Source organism: Homo sapiens, chromosome 2, assembly GCF_000001405.40.
Source record: "Homo sapiens chromosome 2, GRCh38.p14 Primary Assembly".
Classification (NCBI taxonomy): Eukaryota; Metazoa; Chordata; class Mammalia; order Primates; family Hominidae; genus Homo; species Homo sapiens.
The window spans coordinates 169,351,835-169,366,383 of record NC_000002.12 but is presented as its reverse complement, the minus strand read 5'-3'; the positions used below and the strand labels follow the sequence as shown (position 1 = coordinate 169,366,383).

Below are 14,549 nucleotides of genomic sequence, written 5' to 3'. Positions count from 1 at the left end.
AGGCATAAACCACTGTGCTGGGCCTAAACTTCATGTTTAACATCTGTCCTGCATGCACATGCCATATACACTTTGTTCTAGATAATCTGTTAATATGCCTGACATATTAGTCATCTTGCTTTGACCTCCTGCTTGTTTTATAAATACAAATTAGTCAGTCCTAAACCTGCTTACTCTGCCTTGTCTGTTCCTTTAGGTGGAAACCATAGTAAAGGAGCTTGCCCACACTTCTCCCCTTGCCCTCTGCTTCCCTGTGTGGTCCCTTGAGGCAAGATGTGTACTCCTTCTCTTGGGATCTGTGAATATAACAAACTATATTTTCAATGGCAGTTATCTTTTGGTCTGTTGACTTTATCATATTTAAATAATAATGAAACATATTAAAATATCTGACATATTTTTCTGCTTAAAGTCACTTTTTCCCTTTTTAATGAATAAGTAATTTGTGGGGAGATACTTTAAACTTTTTTGGCTGAGATGCATATGAGAAATATATTTTACATGGCGACACAGTGTGTGTGTGTGTGTGTGTGTGTGTGTGTGTGTGTATTGGTTTGGGCTCCATCCTGCTGAGTTTGAGGCCTTAGGACATTGGATTGGAGCTGTTCAGGGGGCAGTTGGCTCTCAGGAGGAAACTCAGGAGGCACTCAGGAGGAAACACACACATACACACACACACACACACACACAGAAACAGTAGTGTTATAAAGTTATACATATCTTTTCCACATGAAAGTTATTTTGGTTTCTATGTTGTTATATTTCATTTGAATATAATTCTTGCCTTGACCTGCTAAATTGATTTCATTACCCTCTAAAAAGTAATTACCTCTGTTTGCAAGCACTAGTTTGATAGAACTACCAAGTTGAATTGTCTGGTTGCCAAATGGAAAGTAGATGGGAGGGGGCAAAACTGATAGCAAGGAGCTCATTCTAAGGCTCTCCCTATAATTTAGATTGATGAGTGGATTGATAAATTTGAGGTAACAGAATTTCATGATTGATTGGCAATGGGGGTGGAAAAAAGAAGGAGTCAAGAATGATGTAAATTTCAGCTTGGCTTCTGGGGCAATGGTGGTGCTGAAGCTTCTTGGTTTCACTTTCACCTGTCTCTTTCGGTTGACTGCTCTGAAAAGTCCTATATACATATATGGAGAGAGAAATGTGAAAACTAAAGAAATTATCTTTTTGCATTATAGAGAAACACTGCTGGCTTAAATTGCAACTGAATTAACCTGGGCTTTCCCAGATACTGGTCCATAGATTTAATCACCCCAATCTAGTAACAGGCATTCTCAGGTATGGATGCCAGAGATAAACACGTGCATGGTGCAGGCTGTTTTCAAACGTCACGAATTGGGGATTGCATTGAGAAAATGGGTTATTCTAGTGGAAAAGTGTGTGGGTCCACATACAGAGTGCTGCGAATGATGGGCTGTGCTCCGCTAGGTGGTCCCCCATCCCTACCCCTTTTCTGCTCTCCTACCTCCCGTTCTCCCTCCCTCCTTTCCCCTCTTCTGCGTTATTCTGGGATTAACGGCGGGGTCGGCCCCATACACAAACGCAGCTGGCTAGTACGGTCAGCCTGAGCCCTGCTGTGCAACCACGTCAGGAATTCCAGTAAGTTGGCAACACTGGAGCACAAAGACAACAACAATTGAGGAACTCTTCAGTACAGAAAGGAATGTTTGGAGCCCTGGCTGCTACAGTGAAAGGGCACACACACACACACACACACACACACACACACACACACACACACACACACACACACACGCTCGCGCCTGCGCGCCCACGGGCGCACTGGAGGGAGCCCAGCCCCTCCCGCACTCGCGCTCCTCCCTCCCGCCAGCCGGCGGCCGCTCTTTGTAAGTCGGAGGTGCGGGGACGCTCATTGACTATGCAGCGCGGCCCCAGCGGGCGTCGGACCGGCTTGACCCCGGCGCGGTCTCGTACCATCGCCTCGGCCGCCCGGAACCGGCATAAATCACCCGCGAAGACTGGAGTGCAGCATCAAGCCCCCTCGCCGCCTCCCTCCTCCCGCTCCGGTCCGGTCGCCCCCTCCCTCCCCAGACCCCGGCTCTCCTGTCCCCAGTCCTGTCTCCTCCGCGCCGCACAGCGCCCAACACTATGCAGGGAGGCAAATAGAGAACCAGTGACTTTGGCCAGAGCACAGACCTCTGGATTTCCCAATCCAGGAATCTCTCCCACTCTTTCCCACAACGCTGCCCGCTCCACCTTTTTTTCTTTAAGCCTAAGTTTTCTCTTTTTGTGTCTATTTATCTCTTTTTGTCTTTCCAAAGTAACACCTATCCTTTCCCTCCCCTAGCCCCCACACCTAAAGCTGCGCCTACCACTGCAGCCCACGGAAGCTACGCGATCCGGACTGTTGGGGTCAGCAGAGCCCCGGACGACCTGTGCCCCGGGGAAAGGGGCTGGCAGTAATTGGCAGGTTCTCGCCCCTGGGGAAGGGAGGCAGCGGGAACCTGTCCAGCGACCACGTGCGTTCAGGGCTGTCTCCTCCATGCGTCACGGCCCCTTCGCTGGAGGGAAAGGGCTCCTGACTTCTTGGACCAGGATCCGGAGCCTGGGACTAGCTGCCGCGCTGGTTCAGGGGCTGGAGCTGGAGATGATGGGATGGCCTCAGGCCCGCAAACAGCCCCTTCTCACACAGGGTTCCCACCACCGGGAAATAACTTGCATCAACCCTCCTTTTTTACCCCTCCCTGTGGGCTCTGATGTCACGTACAGGCTGAGGACGTGCGCTGAGGGCGGGTGTAAGGCCACTTGTGCTTTTGGCTTCCGGGCCCCTTGCCAGCCTGTCCAAAGCGGCCCCAAAGAAGGGAGGCTAGGGGTTCCCTGAACCTCTCGTGTTTCTCCTTCTTATAAAAGGGTACCGGAACCATGGAGAAGACGTTCGCTCTTTTTCAATTTTGCTTCAAAATGAGCAGACTTGTAAGAAGCACGATCTGGCCATGACACCTGTAGATGTGGTGCTGAATAATTGCTAAATAAGGATCCAACCTCCCCAACAAAGATCCACCTCCCTCTCTAATTTGTAAAAACACAAAGCACCCCATCTCAGCAGCCTGTATCCTATCAGGGGAAACCAAGATATCCGAAGGAGCCTAGAGAGATCAGGCCAGGAATGAAGGTCACAGATCTCCATCCAGCAGGCTCTTTACTCCTTCCCTTCCCTACCCCCGCCTCTTTCCCTTTCTTTCTCTTTCCTTCATTTTTACTTGTCTGGTTGTGCTTTCCTTTTCCATTTCTTATTTTTTCTTTCTCTTCTCTATTCTTGACTTTCCTCCTCGTCCATTTCTTTCCATTGCTCATTTAGTAAAACTGCGTCCGTGCAGATTTCCCCGTGAGCCGCCTCGCCGGCTTCTGTGCGGGGCAAACCCTGCGGAGAGGCGAGGGCAGCGCGTGTGCACGTGTGAGTGTGCCTGTGAGAGTGTGCGCACAGGAGTGTGCTCTTGTATGCACGCGTAAAGGGGACTGTGTATGTCGGCGTTGAAGTGTGACTGTGGAATGTGCGCGCGTGTGTGACTGGCGTGTATGAGTGAATCTGTGTCAGTTGGTGTGACACTTAGGAGTGCATGCGCCTGTATGAGTGCGTGTGTGAGTGTGCACACGCCTGTGTGAGTGTCCCTGTGTGAGCACGCGTGTGTTCGAGTGCCCACTCCTCCCCGCGCTGCAAAGTGCAGGGGGCGGGCCGGGCGGCAGGGGGCCTGCCCGCTGGATTCCCGCATGCTTGTTCCGGGGCGGTCGGGTCTAAAGGGCTTTATGCACTGTCTGGAGGGTGGGGACTGGCGCGGGTAGAAAACGGGATGCCTCGGGCGTGGGGGCAGGCTTTTGGCCACTAGGAGCTGGCGGAGGTGCAGACCTAAAGGAGCGTTCGCTAGCAGAGGCGCTGCCGGTGCGGTGTGCTACGCGCGCCCACCTCCCGGGGAAGGAACGGCGAGGCCGGGGACCGTCGCGGAGATGGATCGCGGGCCGGCAGCAGTGGCGTGCACGCTGCTCCTGGCTCTCGTCGCCTGCCTAGCGCCGGCCAGTGGCCAAGGTAAGAGCCCAGCCAGAGCCTCTCGTGGAGCCCCCACTTCCCCGGCTGTGGCAGGGTCGGGTCCGCGGGAGGCCGGAGGGGAGAGCGTCCGGGCAGGGGCTAGGGCCGGGCGGCGGCGCGGGAGCTGCTCCCGGTGGGGCGCTCAGGTTGCTTCGCGAAGCCGGAGCGGGAGCGCCCCTCTTCGCTCGCCAGGAACTGAGCGGCAGCAAACTTGAGAAAGCAGCCCCGCCAGTTTCGGTGACAGCGCACCCCACGGAGACCCTGTCTTTGTTCCCACGGGCGTTGGTCCGATGCTCCTGGAAAGCACTTTGCGGGAGAACGAGGTTCTCCGCCGTTTGCAGCCTGCCCTCCCTAGCGGAGTTCTCTGCTGGGCGGCGCGGTCCCGGGCTCTGCTCAGAGCGCAGCTTTCCACCTGCAGCGCCCCTCCCGGGATCCCTTCGCGCGCCCAGGGCCGCGGGCCAGAGCACTCCTCCCACCACCGGCGAAACTTGGTCCCGCGGTGACCCCCAGAGACCGCTCTCACCATACAGATCATTTACGAGCCAAGATAAGGCCGGGAGGTGGGATTGGCCGAGAGAGTGGCTGAGGGACTGGAGTCTTTTCTTGAAGTTTTCCTTTCCAGCTGGGAGCTGGGGGCTTTTGTGTTGATGAATGGGGCCCGTCTGCATGGCCAGAGTTTTGGGGATCGAATGCAGAAAGTTTCTAGTATGAAGTGCTTTAAACTTCTCTCAAGTTGTCCGATAGTTTATGTTTTAACAGAAACAGAGAAGAGGGAAAGAGAGGGAGAAAGAAGCGGAGAGAATAAAACTAGTAAGAAGGGAAGAGGAGAGAGCGTAAGAGAAGCAAATAGGAATAAGGAAAGAAGGAGGGAAGAGAACGACTGGGGCGGGAGAAGAGAGAGAGAGAGGAGAGAGAGGAGAGAGACAGAGAGAGAGAGAGAGAGGGAGAGAGAGAGAGAGAGAGAGAGAGACAGAGAGAGACAGAGAGAGACAGAGAGAGACAGAGAGACAGAGACCCGGCCGAGGATGAATGGGAAGGGCGAGGAGGAGGCTGGAACCGGCGAGCTCTCCCCCTGGCTTTGCGTTGCTAGGTAGCAGCCGGGAGCTGCGTGTGACCGACCACCAGACAGACAGAGGGGACGCTGCTGCCACCGCAGGGACTAATCTGTCTGTGGGGATGGGAGAGTCCCCCCTTTCCCCTCCTGCTCCTTCCCTCCCGTCGGACAACTTAATTGCCCTACAATGAAAATGAAACCCCTATTGTTGTAGGATTAGCCAAAGCAATAAATTGATTTTCCTGGATCACATATTGGGGTTGATGGGTGGGGAATGTGGAAGCCCCCATTTACGGAGGAGTGAGGGGAGGGCTTGTGGATGGGCCGTGGCATGTATTCAAATGGTTAATCTGCTTTCTTTCCTCAATTCTTAGCGTAAGCTCCTTAGAGGGAATCAAGTAAGTAATTATACAGCAACTCCTAGCAGCACCCATTTCAGACTTCCTGGGAAGAAGTTTGGAAACCCTAACAAACCCCACAGGTCTTGCAAAAGTCTTCAGAAAGGCAGGAGAGGCAAGGAGAGATCATTAATAACCTTCCTTTGAACACCCTTTCTCAGTGTTGGTAACGCAGAAAGAGGGTTTATTATTATTGTGCAGAGTTTGCACAATGCTTAGGGTTGTATCTCATGTCCTAAATATAGCTATAGGATTTACTATATGTTCCTGTCAGTGCCTGGCAAAAGGAAATCTTACCTTGATTCATCTATGTCCTTGTACAACCAAAACAGATATTCTTTTTCCTGGGTTGATGATTTAGTCACTAAATAACCAATACCTACTCTTCTTGATAGTTTTTTGCACCCATCCATCTTCCATTCTATGATAATAATATATAATAATAATGTGTATAGTAATAGTAACCTAGCATACACATATATGTGGCAGGCTTTGTTCTAAGCACTTTATACTTATTGACTCAATTAATCTTCATAATATCCCTTGGAAGTAAGTACTCTTATTATCACTGTTTTACAGATGAGAAAGTGGAGGCACAGAACAATTCAGTAATTTGTCTCAGTTCATACTGCTAGAAAATGGCAAACTCAAGGGATTCTGAATTCAGAGTCTATAATTGCTACAGTATACAGTGTCTGGTTTTCTCTCTCTCTCTCTCTCTTTTTTTTTTTTTTTTTTTTGAGAGAGACAGAATCTCGCTCTGTCACCCAGGCTGGAGTGCAGTGGTGCAATCTCGGCTCACTGCAACCTCTGCCTCCCAGGTTCAAGCGATCCTCACACCTCAGCCTCCCAAGTAGCTGGGACTACAAGCCCGGGGCACCATGCCCAGCTAATATTTTGTATTTTTAGTAGAGGCAGGGTTTTGCTATGTTGGCCAGGCCAGTCTTGAACTCCTGACCTCAAGTGATCTGCCCGCCTAGGCCTCCCAAAGTGCTAGGATTACAGGTGTGAGCCACTGCACCTGGCCCGATTTCTCTTTTTTCTTTTGTACAAAAAATGTCATGCTCCCTAACTTACTGTCCATGTTTGAGGTTCCCAAAGAAGCTGAGGGGCAATATGCAACTCGTACCACCTGCTGCTTCATAACTGTGGATCTTTTTCCAGAATCTCTCCTCAGGTTTCTAAGACCAGAACCCAAGTCTCCCCATTCCCAGTCTTCCTACTTGATCATTTTAAGACGCATTTCCTCTGAATGTCCTCTGCCTGATACGTTGAGATTTCTAGAATCCTGTTGTAATGATCCTGACTTAATATATGAAGTAAAATCCAATGAGATTGTAACAGCCTTTATTTAAGCACTACCTTTTAGGTAGGCTACCATTGCAAACTTCGCATCACTAAAAATTGGAGGGGAAAAAAAAGAGCTCTGAGTATTCTATGTTTAGTCTTTGAAAAAAATTATACCACATCTGTTGTTAAAAATTATTTGCATTTTCCTTATCTTTTGTGTAATGCTTTTCAAGAAAAAACATTTTGCAGAGTCTGAACTCGAGTCAAGCTGTTGGGTTCCAACATTGGCTTTACCACTTTCTAGCTGTGTGACCTTGGGAAAGTCAACCAACTTTGCATAGCTCAGATGGCTTATCTGCAAAATTGACAAGATAATAAGAGAATTTACCCAATGACATCTTGTAAGCATAAAGAGATAAAATATGCCAAGTGCTTAGCATGGTGTAAAGCATATAGACAGTGAAAATAAACTAGAAAATAATCTAAAAATACAATATTTTTATTATATTTATCAACCCTTAAAGTAACATATTGTTTTGCTTCCTATTCCTATTTCCATTTCCAATTTTCAAATATACAAAGGAAAGTCTTCTTTAAGCATTTTTCACTAACAGTTCTCTGAAGACTTCTCAGACCCTAGCATGTGATTGGAAGATTTTTTCTTTTTTTTTTTTTTTTTTGAGAAAATCGTATTGGCCTTAAACAAAGTTGTATTCTGTTTACTAATTAAAAAAACTTATTTTTCAAAAATAGAAATGGGGTCTCACTGTGTTGCCCAGGCTGGTCTTGAACTCTTGGCCTCAAATGATCCTCCTACCTCTGCTTCCCAAAGTGCTGACATTATAGGCAGGAGCCACCTTACCTGGTCCAACATTATATTCTTTAATCCAATAAAAATGTGGTAATGTTTTTAAGAGTTAGTATCAGCTTTTATGACAATTACATCTTCACATGAAGTTTATATGTTTAAAAGGATTGTGGGGGCAATAGCAAACTTGTATCGTTTTTATTCCATCACAACTCTGGAACCTCACTGCTGCTTTAATTTCACAGTTGTTGGCTTCTCTTTCTCTACTTGAAAAAGTTTCTCTTTACCAGTCTTCATAAGACTTCTGCCTGAACTCCCTTCAGTCATGCACCTGTCTCATTTTAATAGAAACTCAGACTTTTTACAGCTAGAGGGAACCTTAGATATCAACTGGTCTGCTTGCATTTTTTTTTTCTTACAGATAAGCAATTAGCCCAGGAGGGAGAAGAAAGGGGCTGAGAGGATGAAAGGGAAGGCGGTTAATAGGTTTCTTGCCTAAGGACATCTAGCCTGTGACAGAGCTAAGATATAAATTTGCAGTGGACCATTTTTTAGATTCATGCCTTCTGAATGTCCCCAGCCTGTTTGGTTGGTTGAGATTTCTAGATTCCTTTTGGAATCCTGACTTGCCAGATAAGGCACAGTCTGATAAGCAGATGAATCTTAAAAACAATTGGATGGGTTACCTGTCCCTGGCCAAAGAGGAATCCTGTGATAGGTTATTACAACCATGTACCATGCGCTTTCAGCTTGGTCCAGAACTGATGCCATGTCAGTGCCCCTACTCCCAAAGACCATACCTCCAGATCCATTTTTCAAATTCTTGAGCCATCAAAGCGCATTCCTGAAGATCTTTGGGTTTTGTAGTGCAGGCTGCTGTAAGACTAGGTTTTCAGTCTTACTAAAGGTAATTATTAGGTCATAATCATTGTTCATGTTCTCTAGTCAGGCACTGTAAGAACACTGAAAGGTTTTTAAAATATTTAAATTAAAATTTTAAATTATCATTTAAAAATAATGATACCAGGAACCTAGATGTATTTCCTGTGTAATCAGAAGCAAGTGCATTGTCATATTGGCTTTGGAGTTTCTGTTAAGTCCTAGTAGCTAGAACAAGGTAAGTAGAAAGTAGAAGGTGCTGAGCTGGGCGTGGGGGCTCATGCCTGTAATCCCAGCACTTTGGGATGCTGAGGCGGGAGGATCATGAGGTCAGGAGATCGAGACCTGCCTGGCCAACATGGTGAAACCCTGTTTCTATTTAAAACACAAAAATTAGCTGGGCGTGGTGACGCACACCTGTAATCCCAGCTACTCGGGAGGCTGAGGCAGGAGAACTGCTTGAACACAGGAGGCAGGGATTGCAGTGAGCTGAGATTGTGCCACTGCACTCCAGCCTGGGTGACAGAGCAAGAATCTGTCTCAAAAATAAAATAAAATAAAATAAAATAAAATAAAATAAAATAAAATAAAATAAAATAAAAATAAATAAAAAAGAAAAAAAAAAGAAAAGAAAGTAGAAGGTGCTTATGAAAGAGTGTTGAATGGATAGGAAAGGGGTTCTCAAGGTTGACTGCACGAATCTAGAGCAACTAAAAAAATACTAATTGTGAAGCCCTATTCTAGCATGGAAAAAATAAGCTTGATGGAACCTTTGGTATAAATCAAATGGTTCTATCGTATCCTATTAACTTTATAGTCTTGAGTAATTAAAAATTTTTACCACTATTGTGTATTCTGTGAATGTTTATTTTATTTTTTCCATGAATATTTATTAAATATCAACAGTGTGCTGATGAGTCAATAGTATCAATACTACAGAAACATTAAGGAAGATGAGAACTGAAAAGAGGTGTCTACATATCTCGCAATTAAAATGGACTGCAGTTTTGCATTTAAGATTCTGAAATAGTCATTGACTCATTCCTAATAACCCTGCCCAGGATCTCACCAGCATTAGAAAGATTGGAGATGTTTCAGCATCCGAGTTCTGGGATGCTTCTTGATAATGATCAGCTAGTAGTTGTTTTGAAATGTCAAGAGCATTTCTGTGGTTCTTCACATGTTCCTAATGCAAATGTTTCCGAAGTAATTTCTTGACAGTTACAGTGTTTTGAGATGAAGTGGGAAGGGCTTGTGATTTTGAAGTTGGAGGATCTTGGTTTGATTCCTACCTCTGCCATTTATTATCTGGGAAATCCAGTACCACACATGCTGGGTGCTCTGGGGCAGTTTTCTTATCTGTAAAATGGACATATATCTACCTCACGGGGTGGTTATGCAAAGGCAATGAATGTGAAATGTTTAATAAACTGTGAAGTCTCATATAGATTTCCATTCATCATTATTACCCAATACGAGAATTTTACTTTTTCCAAACTTGAGAGGAGGAAGATGTTGCAGTATTTTGGTATCTTCTTTACCGTGGGTCTGAGAATGATGCACCTGTGCATGTTGTTACATCCTTACAGTGGCTACCACAACTTCACATGTTATTCAGTACTGTTATGTTGGTGAATGTCACAAAACTAAGTTAAACTGTCTGAGGCAAAAAAGGAAGGTTATTGAAATACATAGTTGAGGCTGGGTGTGGTGGCTCATGCCTATAAATCTCAGCACTTTGGGAGTCTGAGGTGAGCGGATTGCTTGAGCCTAGGAGTTTGAGACCAGCCTGGGCAACATAGTGAGACTCCATCTCTACAAAAAATACAAAAAATTAGCCAGGAATGGTGGTGTGCCCTTGTGGTCCCAGCTACTTGGGAGGCTGAGGTGAGATGATCGCTTGAGCCCAGGAGGTCGAGGCTACAGTGAGCTGTGATCATGCCACTGCACTCCAGCCTCAGCGACAGAGTGAGACCCTGTCTCAAAGAAAATAAATACATAGTTGAAAAGATACAGATAATTAGGTTGATCCATTTGAGATTGATTTTTTTTCCTATGCAGAAATAGTCAAATATTGGCAATTTCATTTGGTTCAACCTAATATAAAATGGAGGCTCAAACTATGTCAGGCCAATCTTGTCTTTTTTCCGTCTCCTGGCTCTGAGATGACTCCATTCTTAAACATGTTCTCCTTTGATGTAAAGCGGCTGTCAGTGGCTCTGGAGCCACCTCCTATCAGATCACATCCACTGGGAAAGAAAAAGAGTTTTTATCTTAGCTATTCCCAGCAAAAGTTTCAGTTGCATCTCAGGGTCTCTACTTAGGTCATAAACTCATTGGAGAACCAACCACTGAATCCCGGGTCATGATGTGTTCCCATGGCTTAGGCTTGGGCTGTATACTCAGTCTTTGAGATCATGTATGAAGGGGTGGAGTCCAGAGAGAAATGGGGGTAATTATTGGGAGAATGGTGAACAGAGGCTGGGATGCAAAAATAACAGGTGTTCAGTATACCTTATCAGATAAAATTGACTGACGATGTTATTTTCATTTTGTATGTGAAGACACACTTGAAAAAGCTACAGAAATTTCTCAAGAGCTGGCAGCCCTGGGGTAACTTACAGAATTGAAAGGAATAAAGTATTGGAAACATTAAGAAAAAAGACATGGTGATCTGTGCCCATGTGACCATGTTGCAACTTTAAGTTTAGAAGGAGAACAGGAGAAAGAAGGACTTTTAGAAGGTTTATTTGGATCCTAAAGTTTTCTTATTTGGAGCAGAGCTTTGTGATAGACAGGAAAGTTCTGGAAAATGAGCTGAGCGATCAGACTACAGGATCCCTTAAGTCTGGTGCAGTATTTCATTTTTCTGTGAATCTTAGGCTCCTACTCCTTTTCCAATTTACTTCACTCCAATGTTTATGTTCCTAAGAGTTTGTCTGTTTTCCAAGCACTAGTCCTTTGCTATAAGGATGGGGTAGAGAGAAAGAAGCTTAAAGAGTTTGCAGACAGGTTAAGATGCTTCTGTGGAGACAGAACACATCTTGGTGCACATCTGAGTGTCCTTAGCACTTCATCTATGGACTTCTTTCATAAATGGTAGAACACGTATCCATCACACCTTATTGGATTAATTCAGAAATGCCAGATATATGTACTCTTTGCTGATGGTTACTTTGTTGGTCTCTAATTTAAGTCTTATCTCTAATCACATTAGCTGAGAAAATGGAGACATTATCATTCTAAAAATAAGATGGTTAACTTTTATATTAGGACACTTCTGATTTAGGATAGCACTGAAATTCAGTGCAAAGAAATGTAAGTCTTTCCTAGATAATGACAGATTAGACAATTTGAAGTTTCACTTTTGGTCATTAGCCCTCAGGTCATGCCTGACCTCAAGGTTACTGGAAACAGTGAGAAATGAATGAAAGGAGGAAATGTAATTACCATTCTGTGCATTGAATAGTTGAGCCACTGTTACCATGGATACAATGGCGCATTTATTGTCCAGATCTTGAGATCCAAGTTTGTAAGCAATATCCAAGGTCTCCTTTAAATTTATGTACTATCAGCGAATAACACATGAAGATTCCTGGTAACTTTGAAAATAAGTCTTTCCTCACTGATCTACTGATTCACATTAAGTAAGAGCATGTGTACTTTTGAAGGTGTTGAGGAAACCTGAAAAAGACGAAAAGGAAAGTAGCTACACTTCTGTTATGCTGGACATTCTTGGATTCCTCTATAAAAATATTCTGTCTTATACTGTCAGTGATTTGCTTGTCACTTTGGGCCCAGTTCTTTGGTTTTTATGTCATTAACAAGGAGAAAATTTCCTGAGTAAAGGTTGAAAAAATCAAAATCGTTTATTTTTATTTTTTGAGACAAGGTCTTACTTTATCACCCAGGCCAGAGAGGGTCTCACTTTATCACTCAGGCTGGAGTGCATGGCTCCCTGCAGCCTCAACTTCCCAGGCTGAAGAGATCCTCTCCGCTTAACCCCACAAGAAGCTGGGACTACAGACACATACCAGCACTCACAGTTAATTTTTATATTTTTTGTAGAGATGAGGTTTCTCCATGTTGTTCAGGCTGGCCTCAAACCCCTGAGCTCAAGTGATCCTCCCGCCTCAGCTTCCCAAAGTGCTGGGATTATAGGCGCTAGCCACCATGCCCGGCTGAAATCATTTATTTTGTCAGGAAATTCTTAAAGTTGAATTTAAGAATGAAAGTATTTTATCAGAAATATGGCAATCCTACCCACATTTTAATCTCACTAGAAGGGGGGTGATACATGCTAGCATGTACTTCCACACTGGTTTAATTTTGATGTGGGGAAGGGTGTGGAGAATACTTTTTGTTGCAAGAAACAGAAAACCCAACTCAAAATGGCCTACACAATAAAGGGTATTTCTTGGCTTATGTGAGTAAAAAATACTGAGGCAGAGTGGGGTTCAGGCGAGGTGCAGTCAGGGCTCCAGTTCTCTTTCTTTGTGTTTTCCTTGACCCTACTCCCCCCTAAGTTTCACCTTTGTGTGCGGTCTGGCTTCCCATATGATTCTGATATGGCTGCCAGGGCAAATGGGGCTACGTGTTTCCTTGATCCTATCCAGGGGGAATCCAACTTTGAGAAGGTTTTAGTTATGTTCTCAAAAGTATTATTTCATCACAATAACTTACAGATTGTTAGAATTTCTAAGGACCCTAGACAAAGTCAGCTAGCTCCCCAAACTTGACATATCATCAAAATCACCTGAGGAACTTAAAAAAGTATAGAGATTCTTAAATCAAAACTCACCCTTACTAAAGCAGGGGTATGAAAATCTGTGTTTTTTAAAAATTTTATTTTATTTTACTTTCAGTTCTGGGATACATATGCAGAATGTGCAGGTTTGTTACATAGGTATACATGTGCCATGGTGGTTTGCTGTACCTATCAACCTTTCATCTAGGTTTTAAGGCTCACATGCATTAGGTATTTGTCCTAATGCTCTCCCTTCCCTTGGCCCCCACCCCCTGACAGGCCCCGGTGTGTGATGTTCCCCTCTCTGTGTGTGATGTTCCCCCCCCTGTGACCATGTGTTCTCATTGTTCATCTCCCACTTATGAGTGAGAACATGCGGTGTTTGGTTTTCTGTTCCTATGTTAGTTTGCTGAGAATGATGGCTTCCAGCGTCATTCATGTCCCTGCAAATGACATGAACTCATTCCTTTTTATGGCTGCATATTATTCCATGGTGCATATGTGCCACAACCAACCCAAATGCCCATCAGTGATAGACTAGATAAAGAAAATGTGGAAAATCTGTATTTTTAAAAGTTTCAAGGTGATTCTGAGGGCTGGACCAATTTTTGGGAACGTGTGATCTAGGTACCCTCTCATTTTTCAGTTTTGTAAACAGACTTAGAGGTGAACTGACTTACCACTGCAAATTTCTTCAGTGGCAGTTAAATATACTCTGTTAAATCTCTTTCTTTTGGATGGGAATGTTACAAGCTAGCTACAACAAGAAGGACAGGACTCTTTTAAGTCTGAGGGTGACATGAAGTACTACCCTCATTCCTGGCCACCTCCTTTTTTGGCCAGCATGGCAGGTCCTGAACCTCTCCCTAAATATGCCACTGTTTGTGTCTTAATTGTATGTTTTGTTCTTACCTTGGTCACCTTTGAAGTTCCCCCCAGACCCTCCTAAGAACGTTGGATTCATTGAGGTAAATAACTGTTGCAGGTCTTCTAATCTTTTCTCACCTGAATCTGAATTCATCTCAGAACACCCCTGACACAGCCCACTGGCTTCTAGAGAAGCTGTCTGTTCCATGCTTGGAATGGAAGTATTGAAAAACTTCATGGCTCATTTCCTTTGTATCCCAGCCTCAACTCTTTGTTGACCTCATTGGGACTTACAGTTTGTTGATCCTACCGCCTCTTCACCATCCCTCAAATCCCTCACCTATTTACTTCCTCAGCTTATATTTTATGGCCATCATTAATTTCACTTCCCTGCATACATACGCGCTCAGCAGCTTGGCCCCTTTATCTGGCTCTGTTGTGCT

At 44.9% G+C, this 14,549-nt stretch overlaps 1 protein-coding gene across 2 annotated transcripts in view, besides 3 other annotated features; it reads left to right on the top strand.

Moving 5' to 3' along the window:
• Nucleotides 2,732-3,365: an enhancer, noted in NCBI's record as "H3K4me1 hESC enhancer chr2:170219529-170220162 (GRCh37/hg19 assembly coordinates)". NCBI's record gives its function as "activates a minimal SCP1, AML or CMV promoter by ChIP-STARR-seq in primed H9 embryonic stem cells {active_cell/tissue: H9 hESC(primed)}" and the evidence as "EXISTENCE:reporter gene assay evidence [ECO:0000049][PMID:30033119]".
• Nucleotides 3,366-3,999: an enhancer, noted in NCBI's record as "H3K27ac-H3K4me1 hESC enhancer chr2:170218895-170219528 (GRCh37/hg19 assembly coordinates)". NCBI's record gives its function as "activates a minimal SCP1, AML or CMV promoter by ChIP-STARR-seq in primed H9 embryonic stem cells {active_cell/tissue: H9 hESC(primed)}" and the evidence as "EXISTENCE:reporter gene assay evidence [ECO:0000049][PMID:30033119]".
• The window catches only part of LRP2 (LDL receptor related protein 2), a 235,426-nt gene continuing 224,726 nt past the window's right edge, over nt 3,850-14,549 (top strand). For both annotated transcript variants that reach the window (XM_011511183.4, NM_004525.3), the window contains exon 1: nt 3,850-4,063. In XM_011511183.4, coding sequence (XP_011509485.1) covers nt 3,985-4,063 — 79 coding nt within the window. In that variant the 5' untranslated portion in view covers nt 3,850-3,984. The remainder of the gene's footprint in view (nt 4,064-14,549) is intronic.
• Nucleotides 8,762-8,946: a silencer, noted in NCBI's record as "fragment chr2:170213948-170214132 (GRCh37/hg19 assembly coordinates)". NCBI's record gives its function as "represses an EF-1alpha promoter that drives an FKBP-Casp9 reporter gene in an ReSE screen in HepG2 liver carcinoma cells {active_cell/tissue: HepG2}" and the evidence as "EXISTENCE:reporter gene assay evidence [ECO:0000049][PMID:32094911]".